General features: G+C 42.0%; 1 protein-coding gene across 36 annotated transcripts in view, besides 1 other annotated feature; it reads left to right on the top strand.

The window, feature by feature from the left end:
- Positions 1-24,549, top strand: part of CLASP1 (cytoplasmic linker associated protein 1) — a 311,687-nt gene that overhangs the window by 40,440 nt on the left and 246,698 nt on the right. For all 36 annotated transcript variants that reach the window (XM_047443792.1, XM_047443782.1, XM_006712383.2 and 33 more), the window contains one exon: positions 2,843-3,322. In XM_047443792.1, the coding sequence (XP_047299748.1) occupies positions 3,128-3,322 (195 nt within the window). In that variant the 5' untranslated portion in view covers positions 2,843-3,127. The remainder of the gene's footprint in view (positions 1-2,842; positions 3,323-24,549) is intronic.
- Positions 11,968-12,037: an enhancer, noted in NCBI's record as "active region_16467". NCBI's record gives its function as "activates an Ori minimal core promoter by ATAC-STARR-seq in GM12878 lymphoblastoid cells {active_cell/tissue: GM12878}" and the evidence as "EXISTENCE:reporter gene assay evidence [ECO:0000049][PMID:35858748]".

Here is a 24,549-nt window from a genome sequence, read left to right as displayed (position 1 = left end):
TACCTCAATTTCTTAATTTATAAATAAGGACGTTAACACCTACTTTATAGAGTTGAAGAATTAGAGATAGTATTATATAAATCAGTATTACGTAAGCACAGAAGCTGACACCTCATGTAGCTCCTTAAATTGTATTATTATTATTATTATTGGTTAGTATCTGTTCATTTTAGGCCCCTTGAAGGAGTAAACGCTATGAAATTTTTTTTCATTGAGAATGAATGAAAATGAATGATAGTTGTTTAGGGGAAGAAGGAGTATATCAGTTATCTATTGCTCTGTAACCAACCGCTCTGAATTTAGTGGCTTAAATAAAACAACAATGAAATGTTATTTCTCATAATTCTGTGGTTTGGCTTGGTGGCTTTTCTGCTTGTTTCCTTACACTTACTGGCATAACTGCAGTCGGATGACGACTGGAATGGGTAGATGGTCCCAGATGGCCTCACTCACATGTCTGGCAGTTGCTGCTGGCTGTTGGTCAGAGCATGTTGGTTCCCCAAGTGGCCTCTCATGTCCAATAGGCTAGGCCAGCTTCCTTACAGCATGGCCGTCCCAGGGCAGCATTCTAAGAGGGCAAGTTCCATTGCTTGTATAGCAAGTCTTTGCTTGCTTTTGTAGTTGCTGATTTCACAGGGTTAAGCCCAGAGTCATTGCAGGAGGGGACTTGGACTCCACCTGGGTGAGGTAGGAGTAGCAAAGAATTTGTGGCCATTTTTAATATACCACCAACCTGGTGCTTATTTGTTCTGCTTCTTGGACTAATAGTAGGTCCAGAAAGAGATTCTTTTGGTTTCTTAAGTTTTCCCGTATCGTTGATACCTTCTTTAGTCCAACATAAGAGATGATAAAGGAACTGCAAGTATTACATTTGTACTAAAAATTGGAATGAAGGATAATAGCTGCTTTTGAAGCTCTTTGTTGTGAAGGAGGGACTAGTTCCAGCATTTGGACATGACTGGAAAGCAGATCTCTCCTCAATATAAGGAAGGATTGCTCTGTGAGATACTAAGTCCCGTTGAATGCTATCCTTCCCTCACTCTTCTGTGTTGTTGGAAGCAGTAAAGTAGAAGATGGGTAGTTATGTGCTGGGGCTTTGAAGGAGGGTTTTCCTCATTGAATGACTTGATGTATATGATTCCATACCTCAGAAAGAATCTCAATGTTTTTACGTTGAGATTAGGGGTGGGGATGGGGTGGTATTAGAAAGGGAGAGAATTGCTGTGTTCAGACTGTGAGTTACTCTACTGAGAATTTTAATTTTACTTTATTTAGAAAACAAAGATATGTTTTCTGGAAACTTTGAAAGTTGGGACTTACTACTGGTGTGAAAAAAGCTTCAATTTGGCACAGTATCAGGGAGGTACTGAATCTTGAAGATAGGTTTCCTATGGGTCTTCTTGGTTTAAAATGAAAGGAATTAAGTAATGGTTTTAGAGTAAGTCAGAAATAAATTTGTACAATGCTCCAGCAGCTATAGGTTAACGAGAGAGCTTATGCAATTTGTGTAGTTAGAACGGTTTTGGTACTTTTCTCATATCATGTATTTTACCCTACTCAAACATGATTTTGAGATCTCCTAATTTTAATATCAAAACACTAGGCCCAAATGGTGCTATTGTCAGCGGAGAATACTGTGTCAATAACTGATCAGAATATGAGCCTATTTCCTTTCTCTTTTTTTGAGACAGAGTCCAGCTCTGTCACCCAGGCTGGAGTGCAGTGGCACTGTGTCGGCTCACCGCAACCTCCGTCTCCTGGATTCAAGCAATTCTCCTGCCTCAGCCTCCTAAGTAGCTGGGATTACAGGTGTCCACCACCACACCTGGCTAGTTTTTATATTTTTAGAGACAGGGTTTCACCATGTTGGCCAGGCTGGTCTTGAATTCCTAACCTCAGGTGATCCGCCCACCTCGGCCTCCCAAAGTGCTGAGATTACAGGTGTGAGCCACCGTACCCGGCCTTTTTTGACGGAGTTGCACTCTGTCGCCCAGGCTGGAGTACAGTGGCGCAATCTCGGCTCACTGCAAGCTCTGCCTCCTGAGTTTAAGCGATTCTCCTGCCTCAGCCTCCCGAGTAGCTGGGACTACAGGCACTGCCACCATGCCCAGCTAATTTTTGTATTTTTAGTAGAGACAGGGTTTCACCATGTTGGCCAGGCTGTCTCGAACTCCTGACCTCAAATGATCGGCCTGCCGTGGCCTCCCAAAGTGTTGGGATTACAGGCGTGAGCCACTGCGCCCACCTCCTTTCTCTTTTTGTGTCTTTCTTTTCTTTGTTGTAGGGAGGAGGAGATGGAGGCTACCACTTACTCCATTGTAAAGTAGTGTGATGTAGGTGCTGCCCTTGACTTTGTTTAATGTGACCAAGCCAGCCACTTTGGTCAACAGTGTTTTCTATAGAGCCTTCCTCATTTCCCATACTTGGTTTTTTTTTAGAAGACTGAGAGTAAGGCAGTAAGCTGCAGTACCTACAGTGATTCAGACACAGAGTGGTGTTAGATTTCTGGTGGGAAATAGAATTGAAGTTACAAATAAATATGCTAGCTAAAGCAGAAGATTGCTTTCCTGTCTGGTGCATTTACAAGCTGGGAAATTCTGGAAAACATCAACCTGCCAACTGTGTGGCTCATTGGCTCTTCTTTGGGCTTCGATGTTCTTCCTGATAAAAATAATAATTATGTTATTTCGATATGGTTGCCAAGCCGTTCATGCTTCTCGCTCTGCTTGTGATTATAAATGATTCTGCAGCATGAATTGCTTTGTCTTTGATTTAATGTTTCATAACATTTGGGTGTTATGTTATCTGTGCTAATTTGTCGTTCTCTTCTCTTACTTTTCAGAATGGACTGCTGAATTATGAAGTATTTCAGACCCAGTAGTAGAACATCACTCTGCCACTCACTCCTTTATCTCCTACTAGTTATTTAAATTGGACTTTTAATATCCTACCAGCTGCTCTTCAGACACACATGGTGCATTGTTGCCATTCCCCAGATTGCATCTTTGAAACACAGGCTCTTAGTAACCTTCAGCGAACAAAGAGGCAACCTCCCAGATACGTCTGCTGGGAGGGAGTCATCGTGACTGCCCTCTAGCTTTTGCTGGATCTGGATTTGAATTCCACTATGGAGCCTCGCATGGAGTCCTGCCTGGCGCAGGTGTTGCAGAAGGATGTGGGGAAACGATTGCAGGTTGGCCAAGAACTGATAGACTATTTCTCAGACAAACAGAAGTCTGCTGACCTTGAGCATGACCAGACCATGTTAGATAAACTTGTGGATGGACTTGCTACCTCTTGGGTGAACTCTAGCAATTACAAGGTAAGCTGTGCTTTAGAAGGCACTTTTGGAGGTGGCTGGGCTGCACTGGTAGATCAAAATTGGCCCTTATAAAAATCCCTTGTGAGCAGTCAGCATGCTTCCTTGGTTTCTAGTAAGACACTCAATCAGATTGTGGCCTTGGGTTATTTCATTCTGGAGAAAGTAGAGTTTTCTTTGATACTCATTGCAGATCAAAAAATTCTCATCCTTTAGCACTTTGACAGAAGGTCAAGTGAACAGATAAGGGGAGGCTTTTTTGTTGGAAAGTTGACAAGCATTTGTAGCCTTGAAGTTAATGTGTATATTATGTTTTGCAGCAAATAGGTCCTGAGACCTTGGTGAGTTGCCCTTTATAAATAACAAATGTCTTCACTGATTTTCTCTGGGGGATTGAATTGGTAATAAGGTGTGGAGCATTTTACCTTCAGGTCACTGTTGTGAAGCTGGCCCAGGTACCTGGACAGAAATAGGTTGTCAAGGACTTTTCTGTGACCTGTGTGTAATGGCCTAGAGGATATCCTTCAGGATCTAAAGGTCAAGGCTGTTTATGTGACCTTGGTAGGGAGTGGGGGTGGGGGTGGGGGCCAGGTCCCATGGGTCAAATGAGTCGTGAAGGTTGACCATTTTACCTTTCAAAGACAGTTTTCCTGAATAAAAACTAGATTGGACTTGAAGTGCTGAAGAGGTGGTGTTCCTCTCTCTGCTTCCTCCCCTATTCTCATCCCCTTATGCTCTCTTTTCATTTCCCTAGAGGGTGGCCCCTTTGGGTCAAGGTTGAGATGGAAGGAAGAGTGGAGAGTTTGCATGACTGCTAATAGGTGCTATAGACGTTGTTAAAGGGGCTTACAGACATAGAATCTTTTGTGCTTTTTTCATTGACTCAATCTTTTGAGATTGGTTTGGACTTAAAAAGTCACAGGACTCCTTTGCTCTAGTATGTACTCTGTTTTCTAAATACGTTACCTATTGCCCTAATATTTCACTTATCACTGGATATAAAATTTATCCTACCTGTCTTCGTATATTTATTTTTTAGACCGAGTCTTGCTCTGTCGCCCAGGCTGGAGTGCAGTGGCACTATCTTGGCTCACTGCAACCTCCACCTCCTGGGCTCAAGCAATCCTCCCACCTCAGCCTCTCAAGTAGCTGGGACTACAGACGTGCGCCACCATGCCCAGCTAATTTTTGTATTTTTGTAGAGACAAGGTTTTACCATGTTGCCCGGGCTGGTCTTGAACTCCTGGGCTCAAGCAAGCCACCCGCCTCCTCCTCCCAAAATGCCGGGATTACAGGCGTGTGCCACCGTGCCCAGCCTATCCTACCTGTCTTTAAACTCTGGCTAAAATTCTATTTCATTCATCTGTTTATTCACTTAGCTGAAATTATCAATTGCTTCTTATGTGTTTGGCATTGGTGCTGGATGGTGCGAGTGTTAAAAGAGATGAGAGGTGATAAAGTCTAGTCACTACAATTTTGTTCTTTTTTAAAAGTAATTTGTAAAAATTGACAAATAATTTTACATACTCATGGGATACCTAATGATATTTTGATGAATATAATTTGTAGTGATCAGGTCAGGGTAATTAATATATCCATCATCTCAAATGTTTATCATTTCTTTGTGTTGGGAACGTTTAATATCCTCCTTCTAGCTAATTGAAACTATATTACTATTAACTCTAGTCATCCTACAGTGGTATATAACACCAGAAGTTATTTCTCCTATCTAGCTGTAATTTTGTATTCTTTAACAAATCTCTTCCTATACCTCTCTTCCTCCTGTCCTTCCCAGCCTCTGCTATCGTCTCTTCTACTTTTTACTTATGAGATTAACTGTTATTTAGCTTCACATATGAGTGAGAACATGTAGTGTTTAACTTTCTGTTCCTGGCTTATTTCACTTAACATAATGCCCTCTAGTTCCATCCATGTTGCTGTGAAGGACGGGATTTTATTCTTTTTCATGGCTAATTAATATTCCATTGAATATACCACATTTTCTTTATCCATTCTCTGTTGTTGGACATGTAGGTTGATTCTTTGCTGTTGTGAATAGTGCTGCAGTGAACATGGGGGAGCAGATATCTCTTCCATATTCTGATTTCTTTTCACTTGAATAAATTCCCACTAGTGGGATTGCTGGATCCTATGGTAGTTCTATTTATAGTTTTTTATGGAACTTCCATACTGTTTTCCATAGCAGCTGTACTAGTTTATGTTCCCACCAGCAGTGTATAAGAGTTCCCTTTTCTCTGCTACATCCTCATCAGCATTTATTATTTTTTGTCTTTTTGATAATAGCCATCCTAACAGGGGTGAGTTGATACCTCATTGTGGTTTTGATTTGCATTTCCCTCATGATTAGTGATGTCGAACATTTTTTCATATATTTGTTGGCCATTGGTATGTCTTCCTTTGAGAAATGTCTGTTCAGATTATTTGTCCATTTTTAAAATTGGATATGTATATATATATAATTTTTTTTTTCTGTTGAGATGTTTGAGTTCCTTGTTTATTCTGGATATTAATCCCGTTTGGCTGGTCCAATGGTAATGAGTTATCAGAATTTAACATAGTGTCACTAAAGTTGGTATACAACTCCCCACTGCTAAATTTTACTGGCTTAAAAAAAAAGTCTCCTGTCAGAGGAGTAATTTGCAAATATCTTCTCCCATTCTGTAGCTTGTCTTTTTACTCTCTTGTTTCTTGGTTGCCCTGAAGCTTTTTAGTTTAATATCATCCCATTTGTTCATTTTTGGTTTTGTTTCTTGTGCTTTTGAGGTCTTATTTATAAAATATTTTCCCAGACTAATGTCCTGAAACATTTCTTAAATGTTTTCATCTAGTAGTTTTATTGTTTTGGGTCTTACATTTAGGTCTTTGATCCATTTACAGTTGATTTTTCTATAGGGTGAGAGATGGGGATCTAGTTTTATTCTTCTGCATATGGATATCCAGTTTTCCCAGTAACATTTATTGAAGAGACTGGCCTTTCCCCAATGAGTGTTCTTGGCACCTTTGTCAAAAGTCAGTTGGCCGTAGATATGTGGATTAATTTCTGTGTTCCCTGTTTTGTTCCATTGGCCTATGTGTCTGTTTTTATGACAGTACCAGGTTGTTTTGGTTACTACAGCTTTGTAGTTTACTTTGAGGTCTGTTAGTGTGATGCCTCTAGCTTTGTTCTTTTTGCTCAGTGTTGCTTTGGCTATTCAGGGTCTTTTGTGGTTCCATACAAATTTTAGGACTTTTTTTTCTATTTCTGTGAAGAATGTCATTGGTATTTTGATAGAATGGCATTCAATCTGTAGATTGCTATTGTCATTTTAACTATATTAATTCCTCTAATCCATGAGCATGTGATGTCTTTCTATTTGTTTGTATCCTCTTCAGTTTCTTTTATCAGTGTTTTGTAGTTTTCCTTGTAGAGGCCTTTCATCTCCTTGGTTAAATTTATTCCTAGGTATTTTATTTTTGGTAGCTGTCATAAATGGAATTGCCGCTTTCTTCTTCTTCTTTTTTTTTTTTTGAGATGGAGTGTTGCTCTTTTGCCCAGGCTGGAGTGCAGTGGCGTAATCTCGGCTCACTGCAACCTCCGCCTCCTGGGTTCAAGTGATTTTCATGCCTCAACCTCCTGAGTAGCTGGTACTGCAGGCGTGCACCACCATACCCGGCTGATTTTTGTGTTTTTAGTAGAGATGGGGATTTACTACATTGGCCAGGCTGGTTTCGAACTCGTGACCTCAGGTGATCCACCCGTCTTGGCCTCCCAAAGTGCTGGGATTACAGTCGTGAGCCACTGTGCTCGGCCAGAATTGCCTTCTTGATTTCTTTTTTTAGCTAGTTTGTTGTTGGTGTATAGAAATGCTACTCATTTTTGTATGTTTGTATCCTGTAACCGTACCGATTTCAGTCATCAGGAGTAAGAGTTTTTTGGTAGAATCTTTAGGTTTTTCTGTATATAAGATCATGTCATCTGCAAACAGAGACAATTTTACCTACTCTTTCCAATTTGGATGCTTTTTATTTCTTTCTCTTGCCTAATTGCTCTGGGAAGGACTTCCACTACTATGTTGAAAAAGAGGGTGAGAGTGGGCATATTTGTACTGTTCTAGTTCTTAAAAGCTGAAAGCTGGCTGAGTGCGACGGCTCATGCCTGTAATCCCAGCACTTTGGGAGGCCGAGGCAGGCGGATCACGAGGTCAGGAGTTCGAGATTAGCCTGGCCAACATGGTGAAACCCCATCTCTACTAAAAATACAAAAATTAGCTGGGCATGGTGGCACACCCTGTAATCCCAGCTACTTGGGAGGCTGAGGTAGGAGAATTGCTTCAACCCGGAAGGCAGAGGTTGCAGTGAGCCAAGATCATGGCATTGCACTCCAGCCTGGGCGACAGAGCAAGACTCCATCTCAAAAAAAAAAAAAAAAAATGCTGAACGCTTTTCCTCATTCAGTCAGATGTTAGCCATGGTTGTTACATTTTTAAGGGCTATGAAATCACCTTGTCTATGTTTTTGGGTCACAACTCCACCACTTTTTCTATGTGCATATTAGGATGCTTCTGACTTAAGAGTAATTGGAAACTGACTCAAATGACCTAAAGTTCTCCAAGGAAATCTAGTGTCTCAAATAAATCCAGTAGTAGTTAAGGCAATGTCCAGGGAAGGAGAATGTCTTCTTGTACCTTTCACTTGGGGGAAGGAAACCTTTCTCAGAAGCTCCCCAGCAGACTTTTCTTTCATCACATTTGCTAGAGTGACTTTGCGTGCCCATCCCAGCACCACTGGAAAATGAGTGTCCGTGATTGCCTTTGAATGCCATGCTTAACCTATTGGTCTTAAGTGGGGGCCTCCCTTGAGTGAAGCATGTGACCATGTGAAGGAGGGTGGATACTTGAATAGTATCAGGGTCCTAATAGGAAAAGGAGGTTGGGGATGGGACTGGGGTAGCATGGATGTTAAATTATTAGATTGGTGCAAAAGTAATTGTCTTCAAGGAGCTCATAGTCTATGGAGAGGAAACTGATAAATAAACAAGTTATACAGTACAGTGTAGTGTGTGCAGTAATGCAAATATACAGAGTTCTGTGGGAAGACAGAAGAAGAAAGTAGTAACACTGCCTAAAGGAATTGAGAATTTTGAAGATTGGTTAGTTTTTCCAGAATGACATTTGCAGGGTTACAAAGGAATGAAAGATTAAGACTTGACTCTTGGTGAAGTAATTCCTAAACAAGGACAGATTAGTGTGAAGGAAAGTCAGGAAGTTGGGGTTTACCACTAACTTGCTTGTAACCATGGACAACTCAGTTAAACCTGTTTGTACAATGCAGATATTAGACTAGATAATCTCTTGGGAGCCCTCAAGCTCTAATATTTTATATTACTTAATAGAGGTGGTTTTTGCACTCAAGGGCTATGTCTTATGGTTTGTAATTTCTCTAAGTGTAGTGGCAGCCTGCATGTTCACATCTGGAGCCCAGAGTATGGAACATCATGGGTGCTCAACAAATACTGGTTCCATGAGTGATCTCAGGAACTTAGACTCCTCAGCCAGGTATTGCTGGTTGCTTTACTGAAACCTGGAAACTACCTTTTAGATCCTGCTTCCCTTTTTTTCTTAATTATAAGTCAAGATTTTTAAAATTGAAACCCTGAGGTACAGTTTGGCTTTATTTGGAATTTTTAAAATAGATAATTCCTTTAATATTTTAGATTAAAGGGATTAGCTTTATATTAAACAAAACTTTGAAGCTTGGCTTCTTGAATTTTTTTTTTTTTTTTTTTTTGACAGAGTCTCACTCTGCCACCCAGGCTGGAGTGCAGTGGTGTGATCTTGGCTCACCGTTACCTTTGCTTCCTGGTTCAAATGATTCTTGTGCCTCAGCCTCCTGAGTAGCTGGGATTACAGGTGCGTGCCACCATGCCTGGCTGATTTTTTTCTGTATTTTTAGTAGAGATGGGGCTTCGCCATGTTGGCCAGGCTGGTCTCCAACTCATGACCTCCAGTGATCCGACTGCCTCGGCCTCTCAAAATGCTGGGATTACAGGCGTGAGCCACCATGCCTGACCTTGGGACCTTGGCTTCTTGAATTTTTTTTTTTTTTTTTTTTTTTTTGAGATGGAGTCTCACTCTCTCGCCCAGGCTGGAGTGCAGTGGTGCAATCTAGGCTCAATGCAACCTCCACCTCCTGGGTTCAAGTGATTCTTCTGCCTCAGCCTCCCGAGTAGCTGGGACTACAGGCATGCACCACCACACCTGGCTAATTTTTGTATTTTTAGTAGAGACAGGGTTTTACCATATTGGCCAGGCTGGTCTTGAACTCCTGACTGCCTGATCCACCAGCCTCGGCCTCTCAAAGTGCTGGGATTACAGTTGTGAGCCACCGTGCCCGGCTGTTTTTTTTTTTTCTTTAAGGGCTGAAAAGAGAATGGAGAAGTAATTTTGGCTTGCCCAAACAATAGTACTTGCGTGTTGTTATTCCTTTTCTTAACAGGGAAGGTAGATGAATGTCAGCTCAATGGCTTATTAAAAAAAAATACGGCCAGGTATAGTGAATCACGCCTGTAATCCCAGCACTTTGGGAGGCCGAGGTGGGCGGATCATGAGGCCAGGAGTTCACGACCAGCCTGGCCAACATGGTGAAACCCCGTATCTACTAAAAATACAAAAGTCAGCCGGGCGTGGTGGCACGCACGTATAGTCCCAGCTACTTGGAGGCTGAGGCAGGAGAATTGCTTGAACCTGGGAGGCAGAGTTTGCAGTGAGCTGAGGTTGCACCACTGCACTCTAGCCTGGGCAATAGAGTGAGACTCCGTCTCAAAAAATAAATAAATAAATAAATAAAAATAAAAACGTTGGCTGGAGCTTGAGTAACTTTGCATTTAAGTGTTTCTTTACAGACAGATGTATATGTGGTATCAAGGGCAATTTAATGGCTACCATTTATTCCTTACTTAGTTTCAGGTATGTTCTCTGTCTTATCTCATGTAGTCTTTATAACAACCCTGCAGGGTAAATAGATAGTGGTATCCTAATTTTTATACAGGAAGTAACTGAGGCTTAGAAATAATGAGGCAATTTTAACTAGTGATTATGGAACTGGATTTAAATATAGGTCTCTGATTTTCTGGATAGTGCTGCTTTCATAAGAACAGGGTTTAGTAAACTTTTCCTTAAAACCCAGATAGTACCTATTTTGGGCTTTGTGAGACCATATGCTCTTTGAAATATTCAACTAATATGAATCGTTGTATTGCAAAAGCAGTGACAGGTAATAGGTAAATGAACAGGCTTGGCTGTGTTCCAGTAAAACTTGACTACCTTATGTGATATTTCAGAAAAACTTGCCTCTCTCACTCAGACTCATATTGGGATCAGTTTGAATTCTGTTAGCTTACTGCTAATCATCTACAGTGAGCTGGCCTTGAACTTTCTTTGGTAGTAGAAGCCATCTGTGGGTTGAGTAATTGGTTATTTAAATAAGCATACATTCAGAACAGCACTATGCTACACCATGGCGGTGCTGTTCAACATGGAAGGATTTGTGAAGGTTCCCTGTTGTCATAGTGACCATGGGAATCCTGGAAGGAGACATTAAATAATAAAAATAACCCCAAATTTTGAATATGGCTGTCCTCATTGATCTGGTCTCCTCTTCCTGTCTGCCTTAAAACTTGCAGAAAGGGAAAAGTGGTGGGGATAGGTTCTTGCACTCACTTCCAGCTGCTTCTGTTCTTCCTTCTTCCCTCATCAGGTGAGAAGGGATGAAATGTTAAGAATGACCTGTCTTGGAGAGACCGCCTGGGCTATGCAACTGGAGGGAATTGGGGGGGGACTTATGCTACGCAGCTTTCTCAGGTCATCTTGACAGCTTTGATTCTGCGCAGCAGTGCAGTAACATGCAGCCTCACATCCACACCACACCAGTGCAAGTACCTGTACCTTTACTGGGATCATTGGAAACAACGTTTCTTAGCAGGGGCTTGGTGCTTTTTGTGAATACAGTCCCACAGGCCTTTCTCCGCAGTTTCAAAATTCAAAGCACTCTGAAAGCCTAGTGTTTTTAATTACTAATTTGCCATTTGACCTGAAGTGAACTAACATGAGACTATTTATAGTCTGTATGTACCTGGCTAGGCTATGTTTCACTACAAAAATATTAATGTGCTTGATTGTGAGTTGCTGCCCCGGATTCTATTCAAGGGGCTATATTACACATACACACACACATACACACTATCTCTCTCTCCGTGCACTATTTTATCTTCCTAAAAATCTGAAAAATTCTTTATTCCAGAATATACCTGGCCTCTAGAGTTTTGGATAAGCAATTGTGGACCTGTATTTAATACTGTACAATAATAATGATAGTCTATGGCTGTGGTGCATTTACTGTGAGCCAGAAATTGTGCTAAATATGTGTTCATTTTTTAAATTGTAATTACCATATGAGGTAGACATTATTTTTCCCATTTTACAAATGAGAAGACTGATGCTCAAAAAATTAGCTAACTTGTTCAAGGTGATAAAACTAGTAATTAAGATTTCTGAGACTTGAACTCAAGTCCTTATGCAACAACCAGAGTTAATTAAACACGTATGATGTGCCAGTTGCTGTACTTACACAGTAGGGAAAAACTGGGTACGGTCCCGGCCCAGTGTCTAAGCTGTCTAGGTCTGTCCAGTCTGTGTGGGCTTCATCTCCGTGTACATTTGTCTCAAGGCCCATTCCGTGCTGCCTTATATTTGAAATTTGTGGGTTCCCTATTAACCCAGAGCTTCCTTTTCTTCTGCCCTGTGGTCTGATTGGAGGAACGGGGAGGGCACATGAGAGGGCGGTGCACAGTGTAGGATAGGAAATAAGTCAGTGCTAAATTGCATCATAGGAATTTGTATAAATTCTGTCATGCGGAGAAAGAAGAAACATTAGGGTATGCTTAGTTGGAGAGGCCTTGACAGAGAAGTGGGATTAAAGAGGGTTATGAAGAACCAAAAGGTGTAAGCTGCAGAGGGTTCTGAGAAAGTCTCTCTTCCTTTCCTGTTTCTCCCTTTCTGGTTAGCACTTCCTTGGTAGACTGTAAAAGATGTAGTCTCTCCTAAGCTGCTTTACAGAGCACATGTTACCGCTAGATCAAGTGTGTTTATGGGCAGGAGGAGACTGTGTTGACAGATAAGGGAGGTTCCTCTCATTTCCTTTGCCTATCTCCAAAACCTTGGCTTTCATCGAGGTTTTTATTTTCCCGCTTGTGTCCTTGAGAGGAGAGCCAGAAAAGATTATTGGATTCAGATTAAGTGACTTCTGTTTCCTTTTCTGGCAGTCTCCTCGCTACTGCCACCAAGTGACACATCTTTTCAGAGACTGTCCATTTTTTTCCAGGTTTTCCTTGCAGTGTTTGTCCTATTGGCTGTAGGAGGTGAATTTCCATGGTTTAATCTAAAAAGACAGGTGCCTCTGTCATAAGTAGAAAAGCTACAGTTAGCAGCACTAAGCAAAAGCAAAAAACCTTAGGAAAGGTTATGTCAAGAAAATTTATATGGATTGTTGGTAAAAATGGTGTCCTTGATGTATGTAATTAGTGGCATTTCTTCCTAAATGTGTTTACCTATATGCAAGGGCAACAAAGTGTACTGAAAGTATTTTAGATTTGAGTGTGAATTGTCTGGATTCCTCTTCTGGCTCTGCCACTCATATATTTGAGCAGGTAGCTTTCTCTCTAGAATGTATTTCCTCATCTGTAAAAGGGGTCTGATGATATTTACTACATAGAGGATTCAGTAAGCCCATGTATATAAGCCCATGTAGTGCTTTTAATATGTAGCATGTGGTCAGTAAAAGGAAGTTGACGAAAATGTATATTATGGGACCAAATACTCATAAAATCTGAGGAAAGTTAACTTTTATGTGGGACTGAGGTTACATGTTTTCTTGTGGCCTAGTCAGTTAGCCTGTGCTCTGGAACAGAGGCCTTGGGTCTCTTGTAATAAGATATGAATCCATCAGTTGTTCAGTGTTGATAATAAAGTCCCTGAGTAGAGCAGCAGCTGGCTGGGAAGTCTGTGAAGGGTGAGTTAAAAACTGACTGGTATAAAACAATCCATTGACTGAGGCCCCCTGTTTTAGGAAGATTTCACTTGATTGTAAAATTTTTAACACTTATACTTTCCCTTGTTTCAGAAAACTAAAATTTAAATAAGGATACATGCAACAGAAGAAGTAATAAATTGAATGTCAAGGCAGAAAGTAAAACAGCTGGAGTGAGAACGTGGACCTAACAATGAGGCTAATGATTAACAGCTAATGTTTACTAGTAGCTAACACTTATTAAGCGCCATTATGTGCTAGACACTGTTAAGTGTTTTGCATGCATTGCCTGGTGTAATTATAACATAGATGCTGTATGATAAGCCCTGTGATTATTCCTATTCTTTAAGTGGGGACACTGAAGAAACTTGCCCGAGGTTACATGACTAGAAAGTGTCAGAGGCAGGATGTTAGTCGGAATAGTCTGACTGTAGCACCCACTGCTGAAGCAATATGCAGTATTTTCTTTATAATTTTGTAGCAGAGGTAATAGTAGCATTTATTGGAGCATAAAAGAAAAGGGTGTAAGGACGTACCCCACAGTTGATTTCTTAAAGGGAGGGAATTTTGAGTTAGACTTTAATGAAAAATATTTAAGATGAATATATTTAAAATAGTTCTTTGGTCCTGTTAGAATCATGACCATATATACTTTTTAAACTTTTTATTTTGGAAAATATTCAGACATGTGAAAACCTCAGAAAACAGTTAAAAAAATTTTCATGTATGTTTCACCTGGACCCCAGTGTTAACTCTTTATCACATATGTCTTGTTTTCTCTATTATTATGCTTATTGTAATCATTTGAGAGTAGTAGACACAGTGCTTCACTGCAATACCTGTGTATACAGTGGTTCTTAGAAACAAGGTCATTCATTTATATAATGTTAGGACAGCTATCTAAATCAGGATTAAGATTGATGGACTACTGGCCGGGCGCAGTGGCTCACACCTGTAATCCCAGCACTTTGGGAGGCCAAGGCGGGCAGATCACGAGGTCAGGAGATGGAGACCATTCTGGCTAACAAGGTGAAACCCCGTCTCTACTAAAAATACAGAAATTAGCCGGGCGTGGTATCGGGTGCCTGTAGTCCCAGCTACTCGGGAGGCTGAGGCAGGAGAATGGTGTGAACCCGGGAGGCGGAGGTTGCAGTGACCTGAGATCATGCCACTGCACTCCAGCCTGGGCAACAGAGCAAGACTCCGTCTCTTAAAAAAAAAAATTGATAGACTATTAATACCTGATTTACGAGACATACTCAAATTTCACCTGTTGTCATGCTAATGTCCTTTATAGCAACAAGAAAATTTTTTTTTTTTTGAGACGGAGTCTCCCTCTGTCGCCCAGGCTGGAGTGCAGTGGTGCGATCTCGGCTCACTGAAAGCTCCGCCTCCCGGGTTCACGCCATTCTCCTGCCTCAGCCTCCTGAGTAGCTGGGACTACAGGCGCCCGCCACCACGCCCGGCTAATTTTTTGTATTTTTAGTAGAGACGGGGTTTCACCGTGTTAGCCAGAATGGTCTCGATCTCCTGACCTCACGATCTCCACCCGCCTCGGCCTCCCAAAGTGTTGGGATTACAGGCGTGAGCCACCGCGCCAGGCCTTTTTTTTGAGACGGAGTTTTGCTCTTGTTACTGAGGCTGGAGTGCAGTGGCGCGATCTCGGCTCACCGCAACCTCCGCCTCCCGGGTTCAGTGATTCTCCTGGCTCAGCCTCCCAAGTAGCTGGGATCACAGGCATGCACCACCACCCTGGCTAATTTTGTATTTTTAGTAAAGATGGGGTTTCTCCATGTTGGTCATGCTGGTCTTGAACTCCCAACCTCAGGTGATCCACCCACCTCGGCCTCCCAAAGTGGTGGGATTACAGGCGTGAGCCACTGCGCCTGGCCGAAAAAAAAATTTTTTTAATCCTGTTTCATGATCCAGTTCTGGAACACACACTACATTTAGGTCTCATATCTGTGTAGTTTCCTTTTTTTTTTTTTTTTTTTGAGACGGAGTTTTTCTCTTTTCTCTTGTTGCCCAGGCTGGAGTGCAGTGGCACGATCTCAGCTCCCTGCAACTTCCGCCTCCCCGGATCAAGCGATTCTTCTGCCTCAGCCTCCCAAGTAGCTGGGATTATAGGCAGGCACCAGCATGCCCGGCTACTTTTGTATTTTTAGTAGAGGCGGAGTTTTACCATGTTGGTCAGGCTGGTCTCGAACTCCTGACCTCAGGTGATCCACCCGCCTGGGCCTCCCTAAGTGCTGGGATTACAGGTGTGAGCCACCGTGCCCGGCCATAGTTTCCTTTACACTGGAACAGTTCATTGTCAGTCTTTCCTTATTTTTCTTGGCTTAATAATTTTGAAGAATTAGGTCACCTTACTGTGTGTAGTTCGTCAATTTGACGTTGTTTGATGCTTCTTCCTGGTTAGATTTTGGCAGGAATACTGTAGATGTGACATATCCTTCTCAGTGCCTCACATCGGGAGGCACACGATATCTCTTCCTCCTACGTGGTTAAAGAGGTGTTTGCCAGGTTTCTTCAAAAAGTTACTTTTTTCCCCTCTTTCTAATTAATAGATATCTTGTGGGGAGATAGTTTGAGACTGTATAAATATCCTATTACTCATTAAACTTTCACCTATAGCTTCAGAATCCATTGATGATTTTTACTTAAAACAGTTATTAGGCCGGGCGTGGTGGCTCACGCCTGTAATCCCAGCACTTTGGGAGGCCGAGGTGGGCGGATCACGAGGTCAGGAGACCATCCTGGCTAGCACGGTGAAACCCCGTCTCTACTAAAAATACAAAAAATTAGCCAGGTGAGGTGGCGGGCACCTATAGTCCCAGCTACACGGGAGGCTGAGGCAGGAGAATGGCGTGAACCCTGGGGGGCAGAGCCTGCAGTGAGCCGAGATCATGCCACTGCACTACAGCCTGGGTGACGGCGAGACTCTGTCTCAAACAAAAAAACAAACAAAAAAAAACAGTTATTAATTATTATGCTGGTTGCCAAAGGGTGATTTTCTAGTTCACCATTCCTTCTTCATTTATTAGTTGGCTTCATATGTTTTTGAAATGTATATCCTATGTTGGCTTCATATATTTTTGAAATGTATAGAAAGAATGAAGTTCTATCAAAATAGAATATTTTGATAGTTATCACAAAAAGGAACTGCTTTGAAGGAGAAAAAAGTGTTTAAAATTAATGTTACTTAGGTACATTTATATTCATACATTGTTTAAGGCAACCTAATAATTTTGTGAACATATAAAAATGCGATGAAGTTTGGTTTGAGCCTGAAGTAAAAATGGAGCGATGGCTACCTGAAAGTTTTCATAAATATTATGAAGGGAATACAAAAAGACATGTAATAGCAAAATATCTTCCTGGAGTTAGCAGGATATTAAAGGACGCTTTGTGGGAGGGGAAGAAAAGCAAAACATGCAAATGGATGACACAATCTGAGTATAAGTGAGATCCAGGTTATTCAGCTATAGACAGAACTCACCAGCTTGAACTGTGGGTTAAGGGGGAATTGTCAGACAGCATTGGAGTAAAAAGAAAACCAAGCTGGTGGCCCTGCCAAGTTATCTATTGAACAGGTTAGGTAGAGGGAGAGTCTGTGACAAGGACCATGGTAAGAAATCCAGAGAAATCAGATGAAAATGGCTCGAAGTAGAGAATGGGAGGTCAACCTGGAAGAATTATTTGATCTACAGCTGCATTTTACATGGGATTTTGGGGAGGGGCAAAGAAGGAGCTGTTAGAGATGGCTGTCCATTATGGAACAAATAGGTGTGGTTATAAATGGGGAAGAAGTTCTTTGATGACTGGTAGGAATCTCTTGGTGTTTAAACATCCTTAAAAGCTTTGTGGATGAGATGGCCTTTAGGATTCTTTTGGATGAGGGACAAGAGATAGCCCAGCCGGCTCCATGAAGGAAGATGTTCAGGCGTCCTTAATAGAGATAAAATTCTGAGATACAAGTGGCCTGGTTGTGCACCAGCGAGGCTGAGCACGTTTCCTAGGTGGAGGAGCCCTGAGGGCAATCAAGAGAGACTTCCCTGCAGCACTGTAGTATAGGAATTTAGTACTGATTCGCAGGGCAATCGAAGCCATTGAAAGACCTCAGGGAGAGGTGTCTGGGTCTCACCCACACACCGCAGCAGTGGGTGCTGAAGATTGTCTGATGAAGGCATTGTGGACTAGGACTAAGAGGAAGTGAGGGAGAAGCAAATTTGAGTAATGTCATTAGGGAGGAGGACAACCTAGTGGTTTTTGGTATTAGTGTGCATATATAAAGGACTGGGATGAATTTGATAATTGTTTGAGATTTCAGGCTTCATGATACAATTTATTGGCTATGGATAGCCTTGTAAAAAAAGATGTCCAAGTTCTTTTTCTGCATGGTGCATTTGACTTCTTTTTGATTTAGAGAAGTAATTTTTAAAAATCAAATAATTTGGCCGGACGCAGTGGCTCACACCTGTAATCCCAGCAGTTTGGGAGGCCGAAGCGGGCGGATCACGAGGTCAGGAGATGGAGACCACCCTGGCCAACATGGTGAAACCCCGTCTCCACTAAAAATACAAAAATTAGCTGGGCGTGGTGGTGCACGCCTGTAGTCCCAGCTGCTTGGCAGGCTGAGGCAGGAGAATCGCTTGAACCCGGGAGGCGGAGGTTGCAGTGAGCCGAGATTGCACCATTGCTCTCCAGCCTGGGCAACAGAGCGAGACTCCATCTCAAAAAAAAAAAAAAAAAATCAAATAATTTTTGAAGAACATTTAGAAAAATAGCCATGGAGATATTTTTGTCTTTGACTTCTTACTTTGGTTGAGAATCCTAAGCTTATGTTCTTTGTGATTTATACATATAGCTTGGGAACAACCTTTTTCAAACACATTTCTGGAGGCTGCTTAGATGATTTTTGCAAATGATAATAATTTGTTTTTATTACAGTAAAAGCAATATGTACTTATTGTATAAACAGGAACATATTTTTTAAAAGTTGTAATGAAAAAATTAAAATCACTCAGTCTTTTGCCCTGAGATAATTATCTTATTGTTTATATCTGTAGAAAAAAGATGGAAAGAATATTTAGATAAGACCGATCATGCTATTTTGTCAGCTGTTTAACATGTGTCATGATCATCTTAGCACTGAGTAAGTTATATCACTTATAAGATGATTTAAAATATTTTTAATGTAATATTCTCTTCTATACATTTGTAGCTTTCATTTCTTTTTCTGTACGTGGTTGCTGTCATCCAAGTGGTTTCTCATCTTTTGGCCATAGCATCACTGCACTTGATCATCCCTGTACATACGTGTTTCTGCCCTCTTGTGTACCTCTGTGCTGGAAGTTCTGAAAGGCTGAATTGCTGGTTCAAAGTTCGGCAGATTGCCCACCTGTCAGTGTTGCAGGAGTGCCTCCATATTAATCCTGGATGTTACCATTTCTCTTGATATTTTTCCTTTGGAATGGGCCAAAGATACCTGTTTGCTTCTAGGAGCAGCAATGGAGACTATTTCTTCTGCTTGTAATCTTTCAGATAAGAGCACATTTTAAGAGGAAATAAGGTAAATAAAATAGTTTTATTTTTGTTGATCTCATTTCCCCTTTAACTGATTGATGAAAATTGTCTGTCTAAGGTGTATTAAACATCAGTAGAGCAGGAGATGCCTATATGAAGGAGGAGGAAGACCTGATACCTCAACGATGTTCACATTGAAATGGATCTATTTGGGTCTATTTGTTGTTGTTTAATCCAGTTATCTTTTTTTTTTCTCCACAAAATGAGGATAATATTGATTTATCTCCCAATAGAGTTGTGAGAAAAAAACATCAAAATCTATTTCTTTTGAATATTCCACTCTTTTTTCCAAGTGCTTTCACACCTACTATAACCTAATAAATATCAGCTCATCTTAACTGGGCTAAACTGGAAGATGGCAAATAATACTGTTAAATAATAGTGTGTTTTTTTTTTTTTTTTTTGAGACAGAGTTTCATTCTTGTCACCCAGGCTGGAGTGCAATGGTACGGCCTTGGCTCACCGCAACCTCTGCCTCCTAGGTTCAAGCAATTCTCCTGCCTCAGCCTCCTGAGTAGCTGAGACTACAGGCGTGCACCACCACACCCGGCTAATTTTTGTATTTTTAGTAGAGACAGGGTTTTACCATGTTGGCCAGGCGGATCTCAAACTCTTGACCTTAGGTGGTCTGCCCGCCTTGGCCTCCCAAAGTGCTGGGATAACAGGCGTGAGCCACCGCACCCGGCCTATAGTGGTATGTTTTTGTTGGGTAGTGAGGGGTAAGTGTGTGATCTTATTTGATTCTCCATTTGATTCTAGCCTAAACTAAAGAATGTTTTTCAAAAAACACCTTTGTAAAGAAAATGATGGTCAGTAATCTTTCTCATCATAGGAGGCAAGTCAGATGGATGGGCACGTCACTGGCCAGCGTGGTGGTTGAGATCACTCTGGAGACAGCACTGGGGACTTGGTGGCGAGAACTGTGTTTCTGTCTGCCCCGTGGCTGCATTTTTGGATGCAGGCCTCTCTTCAGTGTTGTGTTCATGCTGTTTATGACCCCAACTCACATCTTGCAGCTCCACTATCAGAAGACTGAGTTTCTCTCTTCCCAGCTTGGAGTAAAACAATCACAAATCCCCAAACAATCCCCATAAACCCTCAGCCTATGCATTGTAGCCGGGGAGACATGGCTGTGCACGAAAATGGTCGCTCCCACTCATGTAAAGGGACAGGGCAAGGAGTGCCAAGTCTCCTAAAAGAAGAGTGGCTCGACTGGGGGCAAATGGCCCATGTGTGACCACTGGGGGAATCATGAACTTCATACTTTAGATTGGTTGGGGGAGGCCTCAGGGGTCTAGTGGAAGCCTCAGGCATTGGGATCAGAGGTTAGGGTTTGTATCACAGCTCTCTACTTACTATTTGTGTGGATTTAGATGTGCCATTGAGCCTTCATTTCTTGTCCATAAGAGGAGACTACTGCATACTTCATGGAGACCTGAGGCATGCCCAGGCACTGCCCAGTGCTTGGCATAATATGTCTCTGTGTTTGTACTTTATTTTGTTTATTTTTTCTTCTGATGATCTTCATTATTTGGGCTTTCAGCTGTGTCATCAAGCAAGAACTTTTCCAGCTTTCCCAACCTCTTTAAATCGAGGATTTATCCTTAGTGATTATACTAAATTTTGTAATTCTACCAAAATACTAGTATTTTTATGGGCATGTTGCCATTTTTTCTGTATAAATGTGAAGTTTGAATTCTTTAGGTATTGATATGTATAAGGGATTATATTCTGCTTTAAGACTTCAGACATACACTTACCACATAACCTGTCTTATTTAAAACCATCACTGGGTATTATGTTATAGGGAATGGGAGTTAAACTGGTGAAGTTCAGCTTTTTTTTTTTTTTTTTTTTTTTTGAGACGGAGTCTCGTTCTGTCATCCAGGCTGGAGTGCAGTGGCATGATCTTGGCTCACTGCAACCTCCATCTCCCGGGTTCAAGTGATTCTCCTGCCTCAACCTCCTGAGTAGCTGGGACTACAGGGTAGTACCAATACACCTGGCTAATTTTTGTATTTTTAGTAGAGACAGGGTCTCACTATGTTGACCAGGCTAGTCTTGAACCTCCTGACTTCAGGTGATGCACCCGCCTCAGCCTCCCAAAGTGCTGAGATTACAGGTGTGAGCCACTGCGCCTGGCCGATGTTGAGCTCTTAGGTTTATTCATCATATATTTTTATTATTTTTTCCTTTTTTTTTTTGAGATGGAGTCTCATTCTGTTGTCCAGGCTGGAGTGCAGTGGTGCGATCTCAGCTCACTGTAACCTCCGCCTCCCGGGTTCAAGCGATTTCCCTGCCTCAGCCTCCTGAGTAGCTGGGACTACAGGCGTGTGCCAGTACACCCATCTAATTTTTGTATTTGTGGTAGAGATGGGGTTTCACTATGTTGGCCAGACTAGTCTCGAACCTCCTGACCTCAGGTGATTCACCTGCTTCAGCCTCCCAAAGTGTTGGGATTACAGGCGTGAGCCACCTCGCCCGGCTGACATTGAGCTTCTTGTTTATTCATCACATATTCTTCTAAGAGCCAGTTTGTGCTCTTCTGTTAGAGGTCCCAAATGGAGGGGTTTTAAAATGAGAAGGGAAGGGGAGGTGAGGTGTTAAGGAAATTAAGAGGAGGATGTGGTAGGGGGATTAGGAAAGGGAAAGCTCCAGGCCCAATTTCCAGCCCTGCCCTGGATCCAGGCAGGGGGATGTTCTAAGGATGGGGGGAGGGCAGGATTCCCTGCATACCTCTTACCCCTTAAGGTTCTGATCTATTCTCTGTCTTCTTCCTTTTTTTTCTTTTTTTGAAACAGAGTCTCGCCGCGTTGCCCAGGCTGGAGTGCAGTGGTGTGATCTCAGCTCACTGCAACCTCCGCCTTCCAGGTTCAGGCAATTCTCCTGCCTCAGCCTCCCAAGTAGCTGGGACTACAGGCTCGCACCACTGTGCCCGGCTAATTTTTATATTTTTAGTTGAGACAGGGTTTCACCATGCTGGCCAGGCTGGTCTTGAACTACTGACTTTGTGATCCGCCCGCCTCGGCCTCCCAAAGTGTTGGGATTACAGGTGTGAGCCACTGTGCCCAGCCCAGATCTATTCTCTTAAGACCACATCTTTCTTCCCTGGGATACTTTATTTTAGCCAGGATCAGCCAACTTGCTTGGTCATGCTACTTTGAGAAAAGTATGCTCAGAGCAGCTGGGAGAAAGCAGTGCGCTTCACAGTACATACTGCATGGGGGCTAAGTGTAGCTACTAACCTAGGCCTCAGGGGCTTCAACGTGCAGCTCTTCATATACAATGAAGGAGGAGGATTTATGCTCACAGGGCCCCAAAGCACAGGTGGATGTGGACACAATGGAAACACATTCATGCACACTCAGGACAGTTGTCTTTTTTTTTTTATTTTTAAATTCATATTGAACATAGTTTAGTTTAAGAAAACCTTATGCCAACGCATAGAGAAAAATCTGGTATGGCATATGCCAAACTATTAATAGTGTATTTTTTAAGGGGGGTGGAGAGAATTATAGGGATTACTACTTTGTAAGTTTTTTATTGTTGGAAAATTTTTAAATAATACATCTAGGATTTAAAATTTTTCTTTCTTTTTAAAGAACAGGGGCTAGGTGCAGTGTCTCACTCCTGTAATCCCAGCACTTTGGGAAGCTGAGGTGGGTGGATCACTTCAGGTCAGGCATTTGAGACCAGCCTGGCCAACACGGTGAAACCCCATCTCTATTAAAAATACAAAAATTAGCTGGGCGTGGTGGCGTGTGCCTGGAATCCCAGCTACTTGGGTGGCTGAGGCAGGAGAATTGCTTGAACTGGGAGGCTGAGGTTGCAGTGAGCCGAGATCATGCCACTGCATTCCAGCCTGGATGACAGAAGGAGACTATGTCTCAAAAAAAGAAAAAAAGAATAGGGTCCTCAAAAACGTCAAAGTACATGTCAGCTATGTTTGTATTATGTATGTGTTTGTTTCTTTCTGCCCATGTCTGTTATCTTTAACTAAAGGAGCAAGTAGAGTGGTCAGGTTGAGTGTGGCAGAATGGGAAGCCATCCAGAAGTCACTATTTTTTCCCCCAAGTAGCTGTGCTCTTGAGAAACCTTAAGTATCTTGGTTGAAAGACTTTTTTTTTTTTTTTTTGAGATGGAGTCTTGCTCTGTTGCTCAGGCTGGAGTGCTGTGGCACGATCTCGGCTCACTGCAACCGCCTCTGCCTCCTGGGTTCAAGCGATTCTCCTGGCTCAGTCTCCTGAGCAGCTGGGACTACAGGTACGCACGACCGTGCCCAGCTAATTTTGTATTTTTAGTAGAGATGGTGTTTCACCATGTTGGCCAGGATGGTCTCGATCTCTTGACCTCGTGATCTGCCCGCTTCGGCCTCCCAAAGTGCTGGGATAAAGGCAGTAGCCACCATGCCTGGCCAAAAGACTTATTTTTATAGACTGAGCTCTTGATTGCTTTCTATAAGGAAAATTGATCTGTTTTTTGTTTTTTCCTATCTCCAAAATTAGATATACCCTGTTTAGGGCAGGGGATGCGGTCCTAGAAATGGGAACGCTGGCAAAGGAGAGCAAGTATACTTAGTCTCTGTGGAGCTGTGTTCTAAATCTCACTTCGCAGTTGCTTTCTGTACCTGCACATCCTCTGAAATCATGACCTACCTCTGGCTATTCCATCTGTTGTTTTTTGTAACCTGCTGACAAATGCTCTCAAGCTACAGAGATGTCTTGAAAGCATTTTGTAATGTTGGGGCTTCCCCTCGTCAGTTTCTAGTTGGTGTTCTTCTTTCTCTTCTTTTATTTGAAGGTGACTCCAGCTATGTAAAATAGGCAATTTATAATTGAAAAGTTAACCTGGGACCAGACTGTTTGGGTTAGAATTCACACTCCTCCCTTTAGACCTTCCGTCACTAGCTGTGTGGTACTGGATAAGTTTCTTAATCTCTCCATAGTTTTTCTTCTGCAAAATGGGGACAGTGTTGATCCATAGGGTTGTCGTGAGGGTAAAAGAGTTCATGTGTAGAAAGTGGTTGACGTATCGTAAGTGCTGACATACAGTAAGTACTTGTTAGCTTTATGATCATTTTATAGCATCCAGTGTGATAGCCTTCTTTTGTTTCTTTGTGGTTGATCCAGCATTACAGCACTATCACTACTTGCCTTTGATGACCTGTTATGGATTTAAATTGTACCCAAACAGCCAAACAGTGGTAGAGAGGCCACAGAGGGATAAACAGTTTATTTGTCATTTTAAGAGACATTAGTTGAGGGTGCATTGGCTGAGTGTCTTTGCATTGTAATGGGTGAAGGCTACTGGGCCAGGTTTCTCAGTGTGTCAAAATGTGTACTAAAGTGGATTGTGTACTCCCACCTGGGTGACAGAGTGAGACCCTGTTTCCAGAAAAAAAAAAGAATTGTGGGGTACATACCCCACCATTTTTATTTTTTTTTAAATCTATTCTGGAAATAAGCAGTCATCTCTTTGTGAGGCATATCAGAATCATCTGGAGGCATTTAGCCTCCCTCTCCACCTTTCCTTAAAAACCAGGCTTAGATCATGTCTAAGTT

The sequence above is a fragment of the Homo sapiens genome, chromosome 2 (assembly GCF_000001405.40).
Source record: "Homo sapiens chromosome 2, GRCh38.p14 Primary Assembly".
NCBI classification, from domain to species: Eukaryota; Metazoa; Chordata; class Mammalia; order Primates; family Hominidae; genus Homo; species Homo sapiens.
The sequence above is the reverse complement of the archived record's forward strand: the minus strand, read 5'-3'. Positions and strand labels throughout refer to the sequence as shown.